This window comes from Homo sapiens, chromosome 8 (assembly GCF_000001405.40).
Source record: "Homo sapiens chromosome 8, GRCh38.p14 Primary Assembly".
Taxonomy (NCBI): Eukaryota; Metazoa; Chordata; class Mammalia; order Primates; family Hominidae; genus Homo; species Homo sapiens.
Window position 1 is genome coordinate 144585198 of NC_000008.11, and position 20035 is coordinate 144605232.

A 20035-nucleotide genomic window follows, 5' to 3' on the forward strand; every position below is an offset into this window, starting at 1 on the left:
CCAGAAGCCTCTGCCGGTCCCAGCTCCAGATGCAATGGCAGACTCACTCTTCTTCCCAAGGGCCTCACCTGTCTCCCTTCCTTCTCTCCATGGACATCCCAAATCACCACAGAGAACCTGAGGGGCCAGCCAGGGGTTCCCAGCACCAGCTCACCGAGAACCTGGAGGGGCCAGCCAAGGGTTCCCAGCACCGGCTCACCGAGAACCTGGAGGGGCCAGCCAGGGGTACCCAGCACCGGCTCACCGAGAACCTGGAGGGGCCAGCCAAGGGTTCCCAGCACTGGCTTCCCCTCGTGCACTCTCTTGCCCTTAGCTCCAGGGCAACTCTCCCTGGAGACAACCCTTGGCCTCAGCCCATGATACAAAGTGTCAATGACTCCCATCGTTAGAAACACAGGGACACCAACATGGTGCACCTCGAACCCCCACAGCTCAGCACTCTAGGGAGAGAGGATTCAGGCTTGGCGGGGCCAGGACCTCCCGCCCATGGTGCCACGCGCTGCAGCCTGGGCCTCCCGAGGATGTCGCTGGTTGTGGCAGTCGGCTGTACACACCATGCTCTTAAATCTCAACCCTCATGGGCCCCTGCAGGGCCCATAATTTAAATGAGAAAGAGAATCCAAGGATCACACAAATAAAAATGGCAACTGTTGAAAGGGGCTGGACGGGTGCCCTGCCTTCCCCCTGGAGCCGGCTCTCCCCGAGGGACAGATGGGGCATCCCTGCACCCCCATGGCTCAGCCAGGCTCTCCACTCTTGTTACCTGACCCCCGTGACTCAGGGTAGTTTTTTAGTTTTGGAGACAGAGTCTTGCTCTGTCACCCAGGCTGGAGTGCAGTGGTGTGATCTCAGCTCACTGCAACCTCCACCTCCCAGGTTTAAGCAGTTCTCCTGCCTCAGTCCCCCAAGTAGCTGGGATTACAGGTGTATGCCACCACAGCTGGCTATTTTTTTTGTATTTTTAGTAGGGATGGGGTTTCACCATGTTGCCCAGGCTGGTCTCGAACTCCTGACCTCAAGTGATCTGCCCGCCTTGGCTTCCCAAAGTGTTGGGATTACAGGAGTGAGCCACCGTGCCCGGCCTCAGGGCTGATTCTCAGCCAGCAGTGGCCACAACAGGACTTCCTTCCATGACGTTTCTCACACTGCTGGAAGTGCAATCAGCTCAGCCCTCTGCCCAGAATCACTCCCGGCTCTGGGCTACACCTTGGTGACGGGCTCCTCTCTCCTCTGCCCCACAGGGTGTGCCGAGGACACCCCCAGTGTCTTCCAGTCTTATCCCTCCCATGGCCGCAGTGTGGGGGACAGTTCTCTCTCCAGGATGCCAGATCCCATGTGGCAGTCCCAGGCTCCCCTGAGCCATTAGTGACAGCCTCAGGAGCAGCCTCGGAGTGTGACTCCTTCACAGACACTGGGCTTCAATCTGGGGCAGTGGCCAGAAAACTGGCTGATGCAGGTACCACACCCACTTCCAGGCACCGGGTCCCATGCTGACACAGGGCTCAGAGCCTGCCCAGGGAAGGGGGCCTGGATGACAGCCCAGAAGCAGAAGTGTCCCCAGGATGGTTCCCACTGGCACTGGCTGGCCTGGGCTGCTGTCGGTCTGCTCTGCAGGACAGCAGCCATCAGCAACCCTACATGGCTGCACGCCCATCTCATACACCAGGATGGGCAATGATATGGTTTGGCTGTGTCCCCACCCAAATCTCCTCCTGAGTTGTAGTTCCCACAACCCCCAAGTGTAGTGGGAGGGAACAAGTGGAGGTAACTGAATCATGGGGGTGGCCTCCCCCATCCTGTTCTCGTGATAGTGAGTTCTCATGAGATCTGATGGTTTTACAAGGGGCCTCCCCTTCCCTGGGCTCTCATTCTTCTGTCTCCTGCCACCATGTGAAGAAGGACTTGTTTCATCCCCTTCCACCATGATTGTTCCCTGGGTGCCCGCAGCCATGCGGAACTGTAAGTCAATTAAACCTCTTTTCTTTATAAGTTGTCCAGTCTCAGGCATGCCTTTAGTTGCAGCATGAGAACAGGCTAATACAGGCATCAAATAAGAAGTGACAGCCAGGTAAGCACAAGGAAGAACCAACTCAAAACCAAGAGAAGGAAAGAGGCTACAGCAGCTCCTCAGGGGATCTGGGTTCGGAGCCAGAACGCGTGGAATGCACACTGCTGTGACTGGCATTCACGACAAGATGAGTTTCTACAGAGGAAGGAAAATGTAGAGGGTGTATAAAGAATTGAGTGGAAAATCTAAAATGTCAAAATAAATCCCTGAAATTCACGTGTTATACAGGTTTAAGAAGAAACTAATGCTGAAGGATAGAGGGACGGAGCACAGGATAGTCAGAGGACAAAGCCCGGCAGCATGGGACGGGGCCTGGGGAGGGAGCACACGGGAGCGGGCAGGGAAAGGCCTGCTGGGTCCCCACGAGGAAGAGTGAGGGGCAGAGAGACTTTTTTTTTTTTTTTTTTGAGACGGAGTCTCGCTCCGTCATCCAGGCTGGAGTGCGGTGGCGCGATCTCGGCTCGCTGCGACTTCTGCCTCCCAGGTTCAAGTGATTTTCCTGCCTCAGCCTCCCAAGTAGCTGGGATTACAGGCACGTGCCACCACGCCTGGCTAACTCTTGTTTTTAGTAGAGATGGGGTTTCACCACATTGGCCAGGCTGGTCTCGAACTACTGATCTGCCCGCTTTGGCCTCCCAAAGTGTTGGGATTACAGGCGTGAGCCACCGCGCCCGGCCAGAAGAAACATTTTTACACAGATCAGCCTCCAGTCTCTGAAGGTGGAAGGCAGCACCCATCACCATCAGGGAAATGCAGAGCTCGAGACACCGAGGAAAACCAGCAAGGGTGATGGTCCCAGCCCCACGGAAACAGCTGGGGTAGACAGAGCCAGTGACGCTGCTGGCAGGGACACGGGTTGGCCATGTGTGCCAGGTGCCGGTTGACAGCACTGTGGGGACTCGTTGCCCTGGGCCTGCAGCTTAAGACCTGGCAGGAGTGAGGGCATACAGACCCAGCAAGACAGAGCAGGGCCGCCCCGAGGGCTCCTGAGCACGCATCCTGCGTGAGGGAACCAGGCAGGGGCCTGCAGGCTGTGCGCTGCATTGAGGCTCATGGAGGCACAAAACCAACGGTGATGCCAGAGGCTGACTGCCCGGTGGGGCACATCATGAGCCTGCACCTCCTCGAACACTTCTCTGCACACACGTATGTTAGCTAACATGTTTTCAGAGGAAGAGAAATGTGCCTCACCCTATGGGGAGGTGGCCCTAAGCCTCCCTCAGCAGCCAGGAAGAGCAGCCGTATGCAGCAGGGACAGAACTGTGGGGACCGCGGAGAGCGGCAGACTGGGTGCGGGAGGCGGGGCTCTCGCCAAGCCATCTGGAGAAACTCGGCCCAGGGCCCGAAGGGGAAGGTAAGACCCAGTAGGGCTGGGGACCCAGCTGGCCACCTGAAGCCCACGGCCTGTCTCCGTCAAACCCAGCGAGGGTCAGACTCACAGCCGGAGGCAGCACGGCGGCACGGGGGAACACAGCAAAGCCTCAGCAGCCTCAGCTGGGCCACCATGGCCAACGTGGGCAGGACTCTTGTGCGTGCTCACCGCGCCGTGACATGAGAGCAGCACGCCGCCTCTGTGGTCCTCCTCCCAGTGAATCGTGGTGAAGATCAGGCACGTCCAGGCGAGGGGCGTGTCACGCAACGCCGGGCCCGCCCTCCTCCAGGCCGTGCAGGTCACCAAATGCCAGAAGAGGGTAAGTCCACAGGAGCCCAGGGACATCAGGATCAATGTCACGTGGGACCCGGGGACAGAAAAAGGAAATCAGGTGCAAACCCAAGCGTCTGCATAAGGTGTGGATTCCGTTAGTAACAATTCCCGGCAGGGGCTCATCAACTGCAGAAAGGCACCGGCGGCATGACGGCGAGGGTATCGGTGGCCGGAGGACCCTGGTGCAGTGGACACAGAGGCTCTGCGCTGCCTGTGCCATTTCCACGTAAATCTAAGATTGTTCTAAAATAAAAAGTTTGCTTAAAAAAAGTAAGTAGTCTCCATATTTTAAAATGTTAATTTTATACTCTATAAATTATATAAGTAGCACAGTCGGCCTCATTTCGGAGCCAGCAGCTGCTCCTCCATGCAGGCGTGTCCCGGCAGGGCCTACCCTGGGGCAGGGAGTCATGGCCCAGAGGGGCTCAGGGGACAGGAGCGCCCAGAGCAGGGCAGCGGGAAGCCCCTCCTGGGAGGACGAACTCCTCTGACACTAACAGGGTGGAATGAAGTCCCCAGTTCCTCTTCCTGAGGACACCGACTTGGTGACCACGAGGCAGCTTTACCAAAACACAGGAGACCTCTCCAGCTCCCAAACGAGGCCCTCTGCCCTAGGGACTCCCGTGACCCCATAATCCAGGGACAACCAGGTTCCGGGAGGGGCTAGTGTGCAGGGCAGAGGGTGGCCCCCACATGTGCTGGCAAACGCCGCCATCGTACTCAGGGACCTGAAGCTAGGTCCATCTCTGCAGCCTGTGGCAGAGACACCCAAGACGAGCTCGGAGGCCTCCCACGACTCTGCCTCTGGTGTGAATCAGCAGCCCTGGGCACAGCCCAGGCGCCTGTGAGGTGGGGGCTCAGGCCAGGCCCCGCCTCCTCCAGAAGCCTTAGGACAAGGGCTGTGGGCTGAGGGGCACAGAGGGGCGTGAGGAACCTACAGAGGCTGAGATGCGTGGGAGCCCCGCCCACAAGAGGGAACAACACGTCACTGCTGCCTCGGGGCCCACGACGCCCTGACCCTGGTGCCAACTGCTAGCCCTCCATGCTCCCAGCTGACATTAGGCCAACAAGGGTCTCTCGCCTGTCATCCTGCAGAACACAAGGCCAGCTTGGTGGGCTCACCAGGGACACCACATGGCACGTGGGACAGAGGCCAGAGAAGCCTTCCCGACAGGGCCTGACAGAAGATGCCATCGACACTGCGGTTGGGGCAGGGCCATCTCCGGAAGATGCCATTGACACTGTGCTCGGGGCAGGGCCATCTCTGGTGACCTTGTATAGTGGCACTGACAGGTCACTTGTGTTTTCTGACCACTGGTGATGACAGTTTGGACGCTTGTCCCCAAACCTCACGTTGAGATGTGATCCCCAGTGTTGGAGGTGGGGCCTGGTGGGAGGTGCCTGGGTCGGGGCAGACCCCTCATGGCTCAGTGCCGTCTTCTCGACTGTGAGTGAGTTCTTGTGAGATCAGGTTGTTTAAAGTGTGTGGTGCCTCCCCTGCCCCGTGCTCCTGCTTTGCCATGATCAGAAGCTTCCTGAGGCCTCCCCAGAAGCTGAGCAGATGCTGGCGCCATGCTTCCTCCACAGCCTGCAGAACCACCAGCCAATTAAACGTCTTTTCTTTATAAAATACCCAGCATCAGGTGTTTACAGCAATGTGAGAACGGCCTGACACGAGTGACTGCAAGGCCAGCCTGCAGAAGGCTGGGGGGGCAGCGGTCACCATGTGACATCTCAGTGTGCACTGAAGGGGTCTTTGTCAGCTCCAGAGACACCCCTACCCCCCCACAACCCAACCTGCTGCCCTAGCCCTGCCTGGGAACAGAGCCAGCATGGAGACCCCAGCCAGGCCAGAGGCTTGTCTCCTCCTGGTCCCTGGCCATGAGCCTTGTCGACCGCCCTGGGGTCCAGCCAGAGGGTGAGGTCGCCCTGAACCCCAGCCCTCACCCCTGCCCCGTCCAGGCCATTCTCCACGCTGAAGATGGAAGAAACTCCCAAAACTGGGACCTGGTCATTATACCCTTGACACCTTCCACAGCTGGCACTGACCCTGGAGTGGGGCAATTCCTGGCAAAGCCCCCATCCCCCTGGTCCACTCCTCAGCCTGGCCGGTCTCTGTCACCTTTGCTTCCATGACCTCCTGGAGCCGGGTGGCTGCGCAGGCCTGGGGTGCAAGGCCAGAGGCTCACGGTCCCCCAGCAGGTGCCTTCCCTGTCCATACACCTCCTCTCCCCAGCCGGAGCCTGGACCCCAATGGACAGCTGCTCTGTGCTCCCGTGAGCACAGACCTGCAGGGGAGGGTGGCGCGTGTGAGGAGCACCTGCTGGGACATTGAAAAGGACAACGGCAGATGCAGCAGCCTCAGGGCACCCAAGGAAACCCCAAGAAGGCACCTGCAAGCAGACATCTGCAGGAAACTTGTCTTGAGGCCTGGGGGGACCAAAGGTAGCAGGGCCACCGTGAAGGGCCTGAGGCCTGGGCTGACCTGACCTAATTCAGGTGAACGGACCCTGAAGAAGGACTTGTTTGCATCCCCTTCCACCATGATTGTTCCCTGGGCGCCCCAGCCATGCGGAACCTCCTGGCTGGTCCACAGGGAGCAGGATGAAGGCTCCGGGAGGCCAGTGGTGCTGGGGGACAGGGTGCGTGCCAGAAGAGAGGCGAGGGGTGGGGGAGCAGAGGCGAGGAAGGGCAAGGTTTTCGGCCTGAGCACCTGGAGGGCGGGGCTGTGTCAGGTCTGGGGTCAGAACTCAGGACGCACACCAAGGACAGGACCACATGGACGCAGGTCAAACGCGGTGAGCAGTGAGGTGCCCTCGGCAACAGCACAGCCTCCCTGCCTGGAAGGAACAGGCCCCGTGTGCCAGGGCGGCTTCCCCTGGATGGCGGCGTCGCCTCGTCGCCTCGTGCCTGCGGGGAGTGCTGCCTGTGGGGAGTGGTGCCTGTGGGGAGTGGTGCCTGCAGGGAGTGGTGCCTGATCTCCTGTTCTCGCGTCACTTCTGTTAGATTTTAGCAGAACAAAGTTGAGATACTCCCAAAATAGTTTTTCTGAGTACAGAGAAGCTCAGACAGCAGAGAATCGAACATTCTATGCCCTAAAAGAAGTAATACCAATTGTTATTTTTGTTTAAAATGCACTTTCAAATGAATGTAATGGGATAATTCTCTCAACAAAGAATAGCATTTTGTTCCCTTTTCAGTGCACTCCTGCGCGCGTGTGGGCAGAACACCAGCCTCCTAAGAACACTGTGGGCACCTCCTGGGGGACAGCATTGAGCCCAGACCCTCGGGAAACCTGAGGGCACCTCCTGGGGGACAGCACTGAGCCCAGACCCTCGGGAAACCTGAGGGCACCTCCTGGGGGACAGCACTGAGCCCAGACCCTCGGGAAACCTGAGGGCACCTCCTGGGGGACAGCACTGAGCCCAGACCCTCGGGGAACCTGAGGGCACCTCCTGGGGGACAGCACTGAGCCCAGACCCTCGGGAAACCTGAGGGCACCTCCTGGGGGACAGCACTGAGCCCAGACCCTAGGAAACCTGAGGGCACCTCCTGGGGGACAGCACTGAGCCCAGACCCTAGGAAACCTGAGGGTACCTCCTGGGGGACAGCACTGAGCCCAGACCCTCGGGAAACCTGAGGGCACCTCCTGGGGGACAGCACTGAGCCCAGACCCTCGGGAAACCTGAGGGCACCTCCTGGGGGACAGCATTGAGCCCAGACCCTCGGGAAACCTGAGGGCAGACCACAGCATGGGGATGCTGGGCCTTGGGGAGCTGCTGCTCAGAGAAAGGCACAGGCTTCAGACCACAGAGGGCGACCTGGCCTCAGGGGTCCCACAGACTGGCTGGAGCTGGACCTCAAGGACGGAGGCGTACAGCTGCTGGCCCCGCAGGCTGGCTCTGCACAGGGCGAGGTGGGGAGGACATTGTGTGGGCTGGGGAACTCGCGCCTCGGCCCTCCACCACAGAGGGTCAGCATCAACTCACAGATGCAATCTGAGGTGTGTTTGAGGAATATTCATTTGGCAACAGTATTTAAAATGAAGTGGGAAGAGAAATAAGCCATTTGGTGACAAAGGTGGAAGGATGCAAGATGTCTACGATCCCCAGGGGACTCAGGGTACCCGGCGGGATGGGCCTCTTCCCAGAAGCTGCTGTCAAGGCGGAACAACCTTCCTGCAGCCCCTGTTTCTTGGAGATGTCTGTTTGCACACAGCGATCAGCCCACATAAGCCTTTTCTGATGAATGTAATGAGTGCCACGTGCATGCCAGACAATTTGCCAGGTGCTAGGGACACAAGAGTGAACAAGAATGTGCCCTGCCCTGGAGACGTAGACAAGGGTGTCGAGACCACTCCATCGGGAAAGGAGAGTCTCTTCAACAAACGTGCAGGTGGACGTCTACCTGCAAACAAATGCAGTCAGACCCTACCTCATGCCACACACAAACATTAATCCAAAGTAGACGAAAGGTCTCAATGTAAGAGCTAAACTGACAAAACTCTTAGAATAGACGGGGCGGCTCTGCATGACCTCGGATTTGGCAATGGATTCTGAGCTATGACACCAAAAGCACATGCAATAAGACAAACAATGGAAAAACAGACTTCATCAAAATTAAAACTTTTGTGGCCACCCGAGAGAGTGAAAACACAGCCACAGGATGGGAGAAAACACCTGCAAATCATCCATCTGATGAGGTTCACAAAGGACTCTCCTAATTCAGTAACAACAGGGTAGGAGGCTGGGAGGTGGAGACTGCAGTGAGCCCTGATCTACTGCACTCCCGTCTGCGCAACAGAGTGAGATCCTGTCTCGAAAAGAAAAAAAAGACAGGCTGGGTGCCGTGGCTAACGCCTGGAATCTCAGCACTTTGAGAGGCCAAGGCAGGTGGATCACCTAAGTCAGGAGTTCAAGACCAGTTTGGCCAACATGGTGAAACCCCATCTCTACTAAAAATATAAAAATTAGCTGAGTGTGGTGGCTCATGCCCGTAGTCCCAGCTACTCGGCAGGCTGAGGCAGGAGAATTGCTTGAACCCGGGAGGCAGAGGTTGCAATGAGCCGAGATCACAGCACTGCACTCCAGCGTGGGCGACAAAGTGAGACTCCGTCTCAAAAAAAAAAAAAAAAAAAAGATAAATACCCCAGTTTAAAGATGGGCAAAATATCTGGACAGACACATCTCCAAAGAAGATATGCAGATGGCCAATCTACATTAAAAGACGCTCGTGATCATTAGCCATAGGAGAAATGCAAATCAAAAAATCAAAACCACAAGAGACACCATCTCAAACCCACTGGAGGTAAAAGCCATAATAAGTGTTGCTAAGGATGTGGAGAAACTGGAACCTTTATACACTGCTGGTGGGAAGTGGGAACATTAACTGGTGTGGCCACTGTGGAAGAGTTTGGTGGTTCCTCAAAAAATCAAACATACCGGCCAGGCGCAGTGGCTCATGCCTGTAATCCCAGCACTTTGGGAGGCCGAGGTGGGCAGATCACCTGAGGTCAGGAGTTCGAGACCAGCCTCACCAACATGGTGAAACCCCGTCTCTACTAAAAATACAAAATTAGTCAGGTATGATGGTGGGCGCCTGTAATCCTAGCTACTCGGGAGGCTGAGGAAGGAGAATCGCTCGAACCCGGGAGGCGGATGTTGCGGTGAGCTGAGATTGTGCCACTGCACTCCAGCCTGGGCAACAAAAGCGAAACGCCACCTCAAAAAAAAAAAAAAAAGGTTAAATATAATATACAAAAATTAGCCAGGTGTGGTGGTGGCAAACATGTGTAGTCCCTGCTACTTGGGAGGCTGAGGCATGAGAATCACTTGGATCCGGGAAGCAGAGGTTGCAGTGAGCCAAGATGGTGCCACTGCACTCCAATCTATGTGACAGAGTGAGGCTCTGTCTGAAAAAGAAAGTTAAACAGGCTGGGTGTGGTGGCTGTAATCTCGGCACTTTGGGAGGCCGAAGTGGGAGGATCGCTTCAGCCTGGGAGTTGCAGGTTGCAGTGAGCTGTGATTGCACCTTCGCACTCCAGCCTGACAAGTACCAACCTTTCTCAAAAATAATAAAACCCCACAGAGTTACCACCTGACCCAGCAATTCCACAACTAGGTATACACACCCAAGAGAAACGAAAACGTCTTCACACAGAAATCTGCACACAAATGTTCATGGCAGCATGATTCATAATAGCCAAAAAGTGGCAACAGAGCAAACGTCCTTCAACTGATGCATGAAGAAGCAAAATGTGGCCCATCCCTACACGGGAATATTGTTCAGCAGTAACAGGGATGCAGCCCAGACCCAAGCTATGGTGTGGATGGACCTGGGGCATGTCGACGTGAGCGAAGGACCACTCGTATGATTCCACGTACTTCAATCGTCTGGAGCAGGTGAATCCCACAGGACACAAAGCCGGCCCGCCGTGCCCGAGGCTGGGGAGAGGCTGCTGCTGGGAGTGGGGCTTCTCTGTGGGAGGTGGATGGTGGCAGCAGCTGCACAACTCTGACTGTTCTAAGAGCCACTGGATTGTGCACCTTACAGGGTGAGCTTTGTGGCATGTGAATTATATAAAAAAAAGGGAGTCTGGCAGGTGAGGGGCAGCTGGGCTGGGCTCTCGCTGGGAAGGCCCCATCGGGCTGCCCTCAGCCAAGAGGTCCCAAGAGGCAGGCAGGTATCTGGGAACATGTGGAGGGTGCAGAGGCTGAACGGGGCCACCAGGGTCCACGATGGCCATGGCAATGCTGAGCTCCAGCCGCCACAGCTGGCCCCGAGCAGACCCTCTTGGTGGGTCCAGTGGGACCACTCCCCAAGGCATGCAGCCCCCAGCACAGCTCCTGGCTGTACAGCCTCTGCCAGGGGCGCCAGTGTCCCTCCCGCCGCGCCGCCATCTTCCCATCACCCCTCCCTGATCTGCTCTTTGTTCCCAGATGTTGTCCTCTTTGCCACGCTGCTCCTCTTTCTATCCTTATAGTTCTGCCAGGCGGCAGGTGTGGCCAGCCCCACACCAATCACCACAGATACCCGCAGAGGACACCCAGACCAAGCAGCAGACACCAAATCCCCTCCTCACCCAACAGGCTGCTCACAACTGCACATGACACACAAAGGAGACAGAGGCCCCGCAGCAAACCCACATGACCGGAACCCAACGGGCCCTGGCAGCAGAGGGGACGGCTGAGGCCTGGCCACCCCGGCGCTGTCCACCACCCCTCAGTGGGCAGAGGGGATGGCTAAGGCCTCGCCACCCCGGCACTCTCCACCACCCCTCAGTGGGCAGAGGGGGACGGCTGAGGCCTCGCCACCCCGGCACTCTCCACCACCCCTCAGTGGGCAGAGGGGACAGCTGAGGCCTTGCCACCCCGGCGCTGTCCACCACCCCTCAGTGGGCAGAGGGGACGGCTGAGGCCTCGCCACCCCGGCGCTGTCCATCACCGCTCAGTGCTCCACCACTGCTCCTGTCTGGCCTCAAGACTTTGTTCCTGACAAGTGACTCAAAAGTTAAGCCCTTCCACTCCCTCCTGGTCTCCTAAATCAAGGCCTAGCATTGAAGGACATTCACTCGTGGGGTGAATCCAGACTGGCCATGAGGGCTGCATGGAGGGGGTGCTGCGCGGGGGCAGAGGAAGCCCTGCAACGGTGAGCACGTGGGGGAGGAGTGGCCTCTTGGGCCTCCTGCACACAGCCAGGCGCTGCTCTTTACCAGGTAAGCATCCAGTGCTGCAGGCCCCGGGTGGCGCGCACTGCCGGGGTCCTCGGCGAAGATAAGAAACAGCACACAGACAGAGGACCCACTGGTGCCGCAGGACCTGGCACGTGCTGCAGGAGCGGCCACCATGATAGATCGTCCTCCAGACCCGCAAGGGTACCACACCCCTAAGCACCGGAGGGCGCAGGCTCTGCCGGCCAGCCCCACCTTCCCAACTCTCCCTCCAGGCCCAGGGCGTGTGTCCAGGCACATCGTGCTCTCCTGAGACCACCAGAAGGGCAAGGCAGGTCTAACGCCATGAGATGGAGTCCCAACAGCAGAGGCCATGGCTTCTCACACCAGACGTGGTGAGGGAGGAGCTGCGGGAACTCCCTCTGGGCCTTGACATCCCTGGTTAATCTGTGCCCAAGGAGACAGAGGAGGGACCTGGCTGACTGCCTGTGGAGCCTGGGAGGAGGGCGACCAGAACCCTAACAGCCTTAGGGCTGTAACGAGGGCTCACAACAGCAAGGTGAAGCCAGCAGGAGATGCGTTTGCTCTGTGAGGACGTGGGGAGGCAGCTCCACCCGATGCAGCAACCACCTCATCAAATCCCAGGACACTCTGCACCAGCAGCCACACCGCCCTACGCCTCCAGTCCAAAGCCCAACGTCTTCTCTGGGTGGGGCCGACTGGTCCTGTCTCCATCTAGAAGAGCACGTGGAGGGAGGGCGGAGGCATCTTTGAATCAAAGGACTGCAGCTGGGGAGGAACACAGGACACAGACAGCGAGCTGCCAGGAAGCCAAGGAAGCCACGTGCCCAGGCTGGAACCCCAGCACACTGAGGCGTGGACAGAGAGCCCCTCGCTGCCCCTTGCAGATCTACGCGACGCCCTTGAGGATGGGGGCAGGGGGCGGGGGGAACCCAGGATCAGGGGGTCAAGACTGTAATCAATGGGGCCGGGATTGCTGACTTGGGTTGATATGAAAAAGTCTGATCAAATGGGAAAGGCAAAACTTTAAGACTTTTAGAAGAAAATACGTGAAGAATTTCAGGAGCTCAGTTAGGAAAGGGCTTCCTGAGTAAGACAGGAAGAGAAAAGGCAGGTGGACAGAGAACGCTGGAGCTCAACACGTTGGCTCATCAAAAGCCACCAGCACTGACACAAAGGCGTGAGCACAGATGGAGACCATAATCCAGGCTCAGTCAACATGCAACGGTACCCGGAACAGACAGGGATGCGTCCACACCACAAAGGCTAAAAAAGATGATTAAATGGAAGAAAAGGCCGGAGGAGATTCCCAGAGGTGGAAACCTGAGGGCTAAGAACACACGGAGATGCTCAAACCCACCAGGTAGGAAGCCACGCAGACCCACCCGCCAGCAGGGAAGGAGAGTCCGGCCAGAGTAGGAGCTCCGTGGTGGGGAAGGAGCAGCCCGGGGAAGTCCAGAGGGCGCCCGGCATGGCCTCGAAGGCTGGACACCTGCGGGGCCCTTTCCGCATTGCGTGTAAAGGGGAAATTCGGAACCCAGCCGTGGGCCTTTCCGCGTTGAGTGTAAAGGGGAAACTCGGAACCCAGCCGTGGGCCTTTCCACGTTGCGTGTAAAGGGGAAACTCGGAACCCAGCCGTGGGCTTTTCCACGTTGTGTGTAAAGGGGAAACTCGGAACTCAGCTGTGGGTGTCAGTGGAGGGATACCAAGGTGCCACATGAGGACACATGAGCCCCAGGGAGGCTGGGAAGGAGCAGAAGAGACTCTCGATGAGTCAGGTGTGGCTGGGCACAGGACAGGAGGCCAGCAGGACCAGACAGACGGGCAGAAGCAGCCCCAGCTCCTTACAGAGCCCGGGGCATGAGAGAAGGCACAGTGCCCCTCACAGAGCACAGGCAGCCTCAGCCTCTAACAAATGGCACGGGGACAGCCGGATGCATGTGGAAAACAAACAGGTCAGATCACACCTCACACCACACACAAGAACCAAGGCGGATCTGAGACCCAAAGGCAAAAACAAAAGTATGTCAGCCCATGAGCAGGTGCCACGTGCTCTTTCTCCAGTCACCTGGATGGAGGTGACTAAAACACAGAGGCACTGAAGAAAGGATGGCCAACCTGACTACACAAAGATTCAAAACCTTTCACATGCAAAAGCCACTACAAATAAAACAGATTTTGGCTTTTCAGACACATTTAGTGGAACATTTACAATAAGAGCTCATGTCTTTAATATATAAATTTGAGCATGAAAAGATAAAAAATACTATAGAAAAAGAGCAAAAGATAAGAGCATGCAATTCACAAAGTGAACAGTAATACACGGAGGGTAACTACTTCAGTGATCATCAGAGCCCCAAAGCCCAGGCTGCATGGAGACCCCAGGCACCTGCCCACACATCTGACAGCAGGCAGCTGTTGACGGCCCCGATGGCCCGGGGTTGGTGCTGCTCACAGAAGCCCCAAGGACAGCACATCCAAAGGCATCCTTGGACCTAGCAGTCCCTCGTCAGAAATTCACCTGCAGATGCACCTCCCAAAACCCAGAATTATACAAGCAGACTGCAGCAGTCCTTGTAATTGCAGAATATGCGAAATTACCCATATGGCCAACACAAGACTGAGGCACACACACAATAGAGGCCCAGGAAGCTTTGAAAAAGGACGACAATCTCGATGGTCTGGGAGGCAGTGATGTCTAGGGGATGTTTTAAGTGGAAAAAGCAAATTGTGCAAAGAACACATAAATCATGATACCATTAGTGTAAGAATGAAGGGGAAATAAGAAAACATACTAACATCTGTTTATTCTTCACAATAGAAACCCAGGAGATAAACAGAAAACAAGAGAGTTTCTGCCTGCAGCAGGTAGGCAGGTGCAGAAAGGGCACGGGGAAGAGGCCTGGCTGAATGTGCCTGTGTACGGTTGGGGCTTTGGGAACGTGCGAATGGTCTATATGTTTAAAAGACAAAATTATATCAGGAAGAATAAAAAGGGGGACAAAAAAATCTCTAACTGAAAGTAATGAACCAACGGATGCCAGAACCATAATGAAGAAAAGAGAAAGAGCTAATCCAAACAACTTAGGAACACAGGATGAGCCAGTGTCGCATTCCTGGGAGACACGTGCACATGAGGGAATGCAAATGAACCCTGGCTTTTTTTAGTGCATATATTTTTGTAGTGGAATGGGTGAAGCAATTCTGAACCAATTTTAGATGAATTATCAGATGAGCAAGTGAGTAAACACACTGGTGTTCTTGGGAGCCAGGGAAGAAGAGATGTGATGGAAGAGGGGACCACAGAGCAACTCTCTGTGGGAGGGACGGGACTGGGGCACCGTGTGTGCTCAGCATTTCTAGGAGGCGTTTGTGCGCGTGGAGGCATGCATGCATGTTCATGTACCTGTGTGCGTGTGCATGGAGGCATGTGTGCGCACTTGTGTACCTATGTGTGCGTAGAGACGAGTGTGCGAGCTCATGTACCTACCTGTGTGTGTGCGTGGAGGCGTGTGTGCGCACTTGTGTACCTACCTGCGTGTGCGTGTGTGTGGGGGGCATGTGTGCAAGCTCGTGTACCTACCTGCGTGTGCGTGTGCGTGGGGGTGTCTGTGTGCTCCTGTACCCACCTGCGTGTGCGTGTGCATGGAGGCGTGCGTGTGCACTTGTGTACCTGAGTGTGCATGTGCGTGGAGGCATGCGTGCACACTTGGGTACCTACCTGCGTGTGTGGAGGCGTGTGTGTGCACTTGTGTACCTGAGTGTGCGTGTTCGTGGAGGCGTGCATGTGCACTTGGGTACCTACCTGCGTGTGCATCGAGGCGTGTGTGCACACTTGGGTACCTACCTGCGTGTGCGTGGAGGCGTGCGTGTGCACTTGTGTACCTGAGTGTGCGTGTGCGTGGAGGCGTGCATGTGCACTTGTATACCTGAGTGTGCGTGTTCGTGGAGGCGTGCGTGCGCACTTGGGTACCTACCTGCGTGTGCATGGAGGTGTGCGTGCACACTTGTGTACCTGCGTGTGCGTGTGCGTGGAGACGTGCGTGTGCACTTGTGTACCTGAGTGTGCGTGTTCAAGGCGTGCGTGCGCACTTGTGTACCTACCTGCGTGTGCATGGAGGCATGCGCGTGAGCTCATCTACCTACCTGCGCGTGTGTGTGCGTGGAGGCGTGTGTGTGCTCGTGTACCTGTGTGTGTGCATGGAAGCGTGCGTGCGTGCTCGTGTACCTGTGCGTGTGCGTGGTGTGTGCAAGCTCATGTACCTGTGTGTGTGTGGAGGCATGTGTGTGCTCGTATACCTGTGTGCATGTGCGTGGAGGTGTGTGTGCGAGCTCATGTACCTGTGTGTGTGCGTGGAGGCGTGTGCTCGTGTACCTGTGTGTGCACATGGAGGCGTGCGTGCGAGCTCGTGTACCTGTGTGCATGTGCGTGGAGGTGTGTGTGACCTCATGTACCTGTGTGTGCATGGAGGCGTGCATGTGTGCTCGTGTACCTGTGTGTGTGCATGGAGGCGTGCGTGCAAGCTCGTGTACCTGTGTGCATGTGCGTGGAGGTGCGTGTGCAAGCTCATGTACCTGTGTGCATGGAGGCGTGTGTGCTCGTGAACCTGTGTGTGTGCATGGAGGCATGCGTGCGTGCTCATGTACCTGTGTGTGTGTGTGGAGGCGTGTGTGTGCTCGTGTACCTGTGTGCGTGTGCGAGCTCATGTACCTGTGTGTGCGTTGAGGCGTGTGTGCTCGTCTACCTGCGTGCATGGAGGCGTGCGTGCGTGCGAGCTCGTGTACCTGTGTGCATGTGCGTGGAGGTGTGTGTGCGAGCTCATGTACCTGTGTGTGTGTGCGTGGAGGCATGTGTGTGCTCATGTACCTGTGTGTGTGCATGGAGGCGTGCGTGCGAGCTCGTGTACCTGTGTGCATGTGCGTGGAGGTGTGTGTGCGAGCTCATGTATCTGTGTGTGCATGGAGGCGTGCATGTGTGCTCGTGTACCTGTGTGTGCATGGATGCGTGCGTGCGAGCTCATGTACCTGTGTGCATGTGTGTGGTGTGTGTGTGAGCTCATGTACCTGTGTGTGTGCGTGGAGGCGTGTGTGCTCGTGAACCTGTGTGTGTGCGTGGAGGCATGCGTGTGTGCTAATGTACCTGTGTGTGTGTGTGGAGGCGTGTGTGCTCGTGTACCTGTGTGCATGTGCGTAGAGGTGTGTGTGCGAGCTCACGTACCTGTGTGTGTCCATGGAGGCGTGCATGTGCTCGTGTACCTGTGTGTGTGCATGGAGGCGTGCGTGCGAGCTCGTGTACCTGTGTTCATGTGCGTGGAGGTGCGTGTGCGAGCTCATGTACCTGTGTGTGTGCATGGAGGCGTGTGTGTGCTCGTGAACCTGTGTGTGTGCGTGGAGGCATGCGTGCGTGCTCATGTACCTGTGTGTGGAGGCGTGTGTGCTCGTGTACCTGTGTGCATGTGCATGGAGGTGTGTGTGCGAGCTCATGTACCTGTGTGTGTGTGCGTGGAGGCGTGTGTGCTCGTGTACCTGTGTGTGCATGGAGGCGTGCGTGCGAGCTCGTGTACCTGTGTGCATGTGCGTGGAGGTGTGTGTGTGAGCTCATGTACCTGTGTGTGTGCGTGGAGGCGTGTGTGCTCGTGTACCTGTGTGTGTGCATGGAGGCGTGCGTGCGAGCTCGTGTACCTGTATGCATGTGCATGGAGGTGTGTGTGCGAGCTCATGTACCTGTGTGTGTGCGTGGAGGCGTGTGTGTGCTTGTGTACCTGTGTGTGTGCATGGAGTTGTGCGTGCGAGCTCGTGTACCTGTGCATGTGCGTGGTGTGTGCGCGAGCTCATGTATCTGTGTACATGGAGGCGTGCATGTGTGCTCGTGTACCTGTGTGTGCATGGAGGCGTGCGTGCGAGCTCGTGTACCTGTGTGCATGTGTGTGGAGGTGTGTGTGCGAGCTCATGTACCTGTGTGTGCGTGGAGGCGTGTGTGTGCTCGTGTACCTGTGTGCATGGAGGCGTGCGTGCGAGCTCGTGTACCTGTGTGCATGTGCGTGGAGTTGTGTGCGCTCGTGTACCTGTGTGTGTGCATGGAGGCGTGTGTGTGAGCTCGTGTACCTGTGTGTATGTGCATGGAGGCGTGTGTGTGCATGTGCATGGAGGCGTGTGTGCTCGTGTACCTGTGTGCATGGAGGCGTGCGTGTGAGCTCGTGTACCTGTGTGCATGTGTGTGGTGTGTGTGAGAGCTCATGTACCTGTGTGTGTGTGCGTGGAGGCGTGTGTGTGCTCGTGTACCTGTGTGTGTGCATGGAGGCGTGCGTGCGAGCTCGTGTACCTGTGTGCATGTGCGTGGAGGTGTGTGTGCGAGCTCATGTATCTGTGTGCGTGCGTGGAGGCGTGTGTGTGAGCTCGTGTACCTGTGTGCGTGCGTGGAGGTGTGTGCGCGAGCTCATGTATCTGTGTGCGTGGAGGCGTGTGTGTGCTGGTGTACCTGTGTGCATGTGCGTGGAGGTGTGTGTGCGAGCTCATGTACCTGTGTGTGTGCGTGGAGGCGTGTGTGTGCTCATGTACCTGTGTGTGTGCCTGGAGGCGTGCGTGTGTGCTCGTGTACCTGTGTGCATGTGCGTGGAGGTGTGTGTGCGTGCTCGTGTATCTGTGTGTGTGCGTGTGCATGTACCTGCATGTGTGGAGGCATGTGTGCACGCTCGTGAACCTGTGTGTGTACATGTGCATACTCCTGCATAATTTTCTAGTTTTGTGTGCTCAGGCCAAAAAGCACACATCTGTCATCCCAGCACTTTGGGAGGCCGAGGCGGGCAGATCACGAGGTCAGGAGTTCAAGACCAGCCTGACCAACATGGTGAAACCCCATCTCTAGTAAAAATACAAAAAATTAGCCGGGCGTGGTGGTGCGCACCTGTAATCCCAGCTACTCAGGAGGCTGAGGCAGAAGAAATGCTTCAACCCGGGAGGCGGAGCTTGCATTGAGCTGAGATCACGCCACTGCACTCCAGCCTGGGCGACAAAGCGAGACTCCATCAAAAAAAAAAAAAAAAAAGAGGCCAAAAAGCAAAAAGCAAATACACTGCAGTAGCACTGAATGTTCTAAGAACCCAGACCTTGTTCTGTAAGACCAGTATTCCCTAAAAGGAACCAGCACTCCCTAGACAAACAGCTGATTCCAAGGCTGAGCAGGGCAGCTGTGCCAGGAGGAAGCTAGCACTTGCAGGAATGAGGACATCAGGGACACAGGATCCAGCGAGACGCTTAGGGGCCTATCTGGGCGCTTATGCACCAAGCCAGTGAAGAGCAAGCGCAATATCAACCCCGAAAAAACCCAACGGAGCTCACAGCCCACATCAGCGAACAAACGAATGAAGAACGAACAAACGAATGAACAAGGAGACAGCAGGACTCCTGCTCAGGTCAAGGCAGAGTGCGGATCGCAACTGTGGAAGGTGCACAGAGTCCCAGAAAGACCAACCACACAGGGAGGCACAAAGCATCAGACACGGAGCCGGGCCCAGAGCGCCCAGAGGTGGCCGGGAGGCAGCAGCTGCACCTCGGGGGGTGCGGGCGAGGCCTCTGTCGGGGTCAGAGGTCATGTTGCCAGGTGAGGGGCAGATGGACAGCAGTGTCTGCAGATGCGGGGCCCGGGAGGACCCAACACCACCTGTATGGCATTCTCCTGAAAAACTGTCAGACAAACCCAAACCAAGGAACTCTCTATTTTACTTTATTTACTGTGACACGGGGGTCTCACGCAGTCGCTCAGGCCAGAGTGCAGTGGTGTGATCTCAGCTCACTGCAGCCTAAACCTCTTGGGCTCAAGGGATCTCCTCACCTCAGCCTCCCGAGTAGCTGAGACCATAGGCATCTGCCACCACATCTGGCTAATTTTTGTATTTTTTGTAGAGATGGGGTCTCGCTAGGTTGCCCAGGCTGGGATGATCTGTTTTAAATAGGGTGACTATTACCTTAAAAATATCAATGTGACAACAGGCAGAGAAAAGCTGTGGAATTCTTCCAGATTAAAAAAGGCCAAGGAGAGAGAGGCAGTCAGGGGCAGAGCTGACCTGGAGGCATGGGACACTGGCTGAGACGGGACAGGGCCAGATTTACTTGTGGTAACAAGCGTCCTGGGCTACCTGGAAGACGTCCTGAGGGAGCTCACGCTCTCACACCGCCACCCCCAAAAGCATTCAGAGGCGACGGGAGCAATGCTAGCCACAGGGTCTCTGGGCAAGGGCACTCGAGCACTCATGGGGCTGTTCTTATTCTTGTAACTTTTCTGGAAGCATGAAATTATTTCCAAATAAAAGCCTAGAAATCAGGGCAGAGCAGTGGCTCACGTCTGTGATCCTGGCACTTTGGGAGGCCTCGGCCTCCCAAAAGGATCGCTTGAGCCCAGGAGTTTGAGACCAGCCCAAGCAACAGACCTCATCTTTACAAAAAATTAGAAAAATCAGCTAGACGTGGTGGTGCACACCTGCAGTCCCAGCTACTTGGGAGGTGAGGTGGGAGGACTGCTTTAGCCTAGGAGTTCAAGGCTGCAGTGAGCTATGATGGAGCCACTGCACTGCAG

General features: G+C 56.5%; 1 protein-coding gene across 5 annotated transcripts in view, besides 2 other annotated features; it reads right to left on the reverse strand.

The window, feature by feature from the left end:
• ARHGAP39 (Rho GTPase activating protein 39) overlaps positions 1-20035 on the reverse strand; it is a 171184-nt gene that overhangs the window by 56019 nt on the left and 95130 nt on the right. The gene's annotated exons all lie outside the window — the stretch shown is intronic.
• Positions 5810-6391: an enhancer, noted in NCBI's record as "H3K4me1 hESC enhancer chr8:145816391-145816972 (GRCh37/hg19 assembly coordinates)". NCBI's record gives its function as "activates a minimal SCP1, AML or CMV promoter by ChIP-STARR-seq in naive H9 embryonic stem cells {active_cell/tissue: H9 hESC(naive)}" and the evidence as "EXISTENCE:reporter gene assay evidence [ECO:0000049][PMID:30033119]".
• Positions 6392-6973: an enhancer, noted in NCBI's record as "H3K4me1 hESC enhancer chr8:145816973-145817554 (GRCh37/hg19 assembly coordinates)". NCBI's record gives its function as "activates a minimal SCP1, AML or CMV promoter by ChIP-STARR-seq in naive H9 embryonic stem cells {active_cell/tissue: H9 hESC(naive)}" and the evidence as "EXISTENCE:reporter gene assay evidence [ECO:0000049][PMID:30033119]".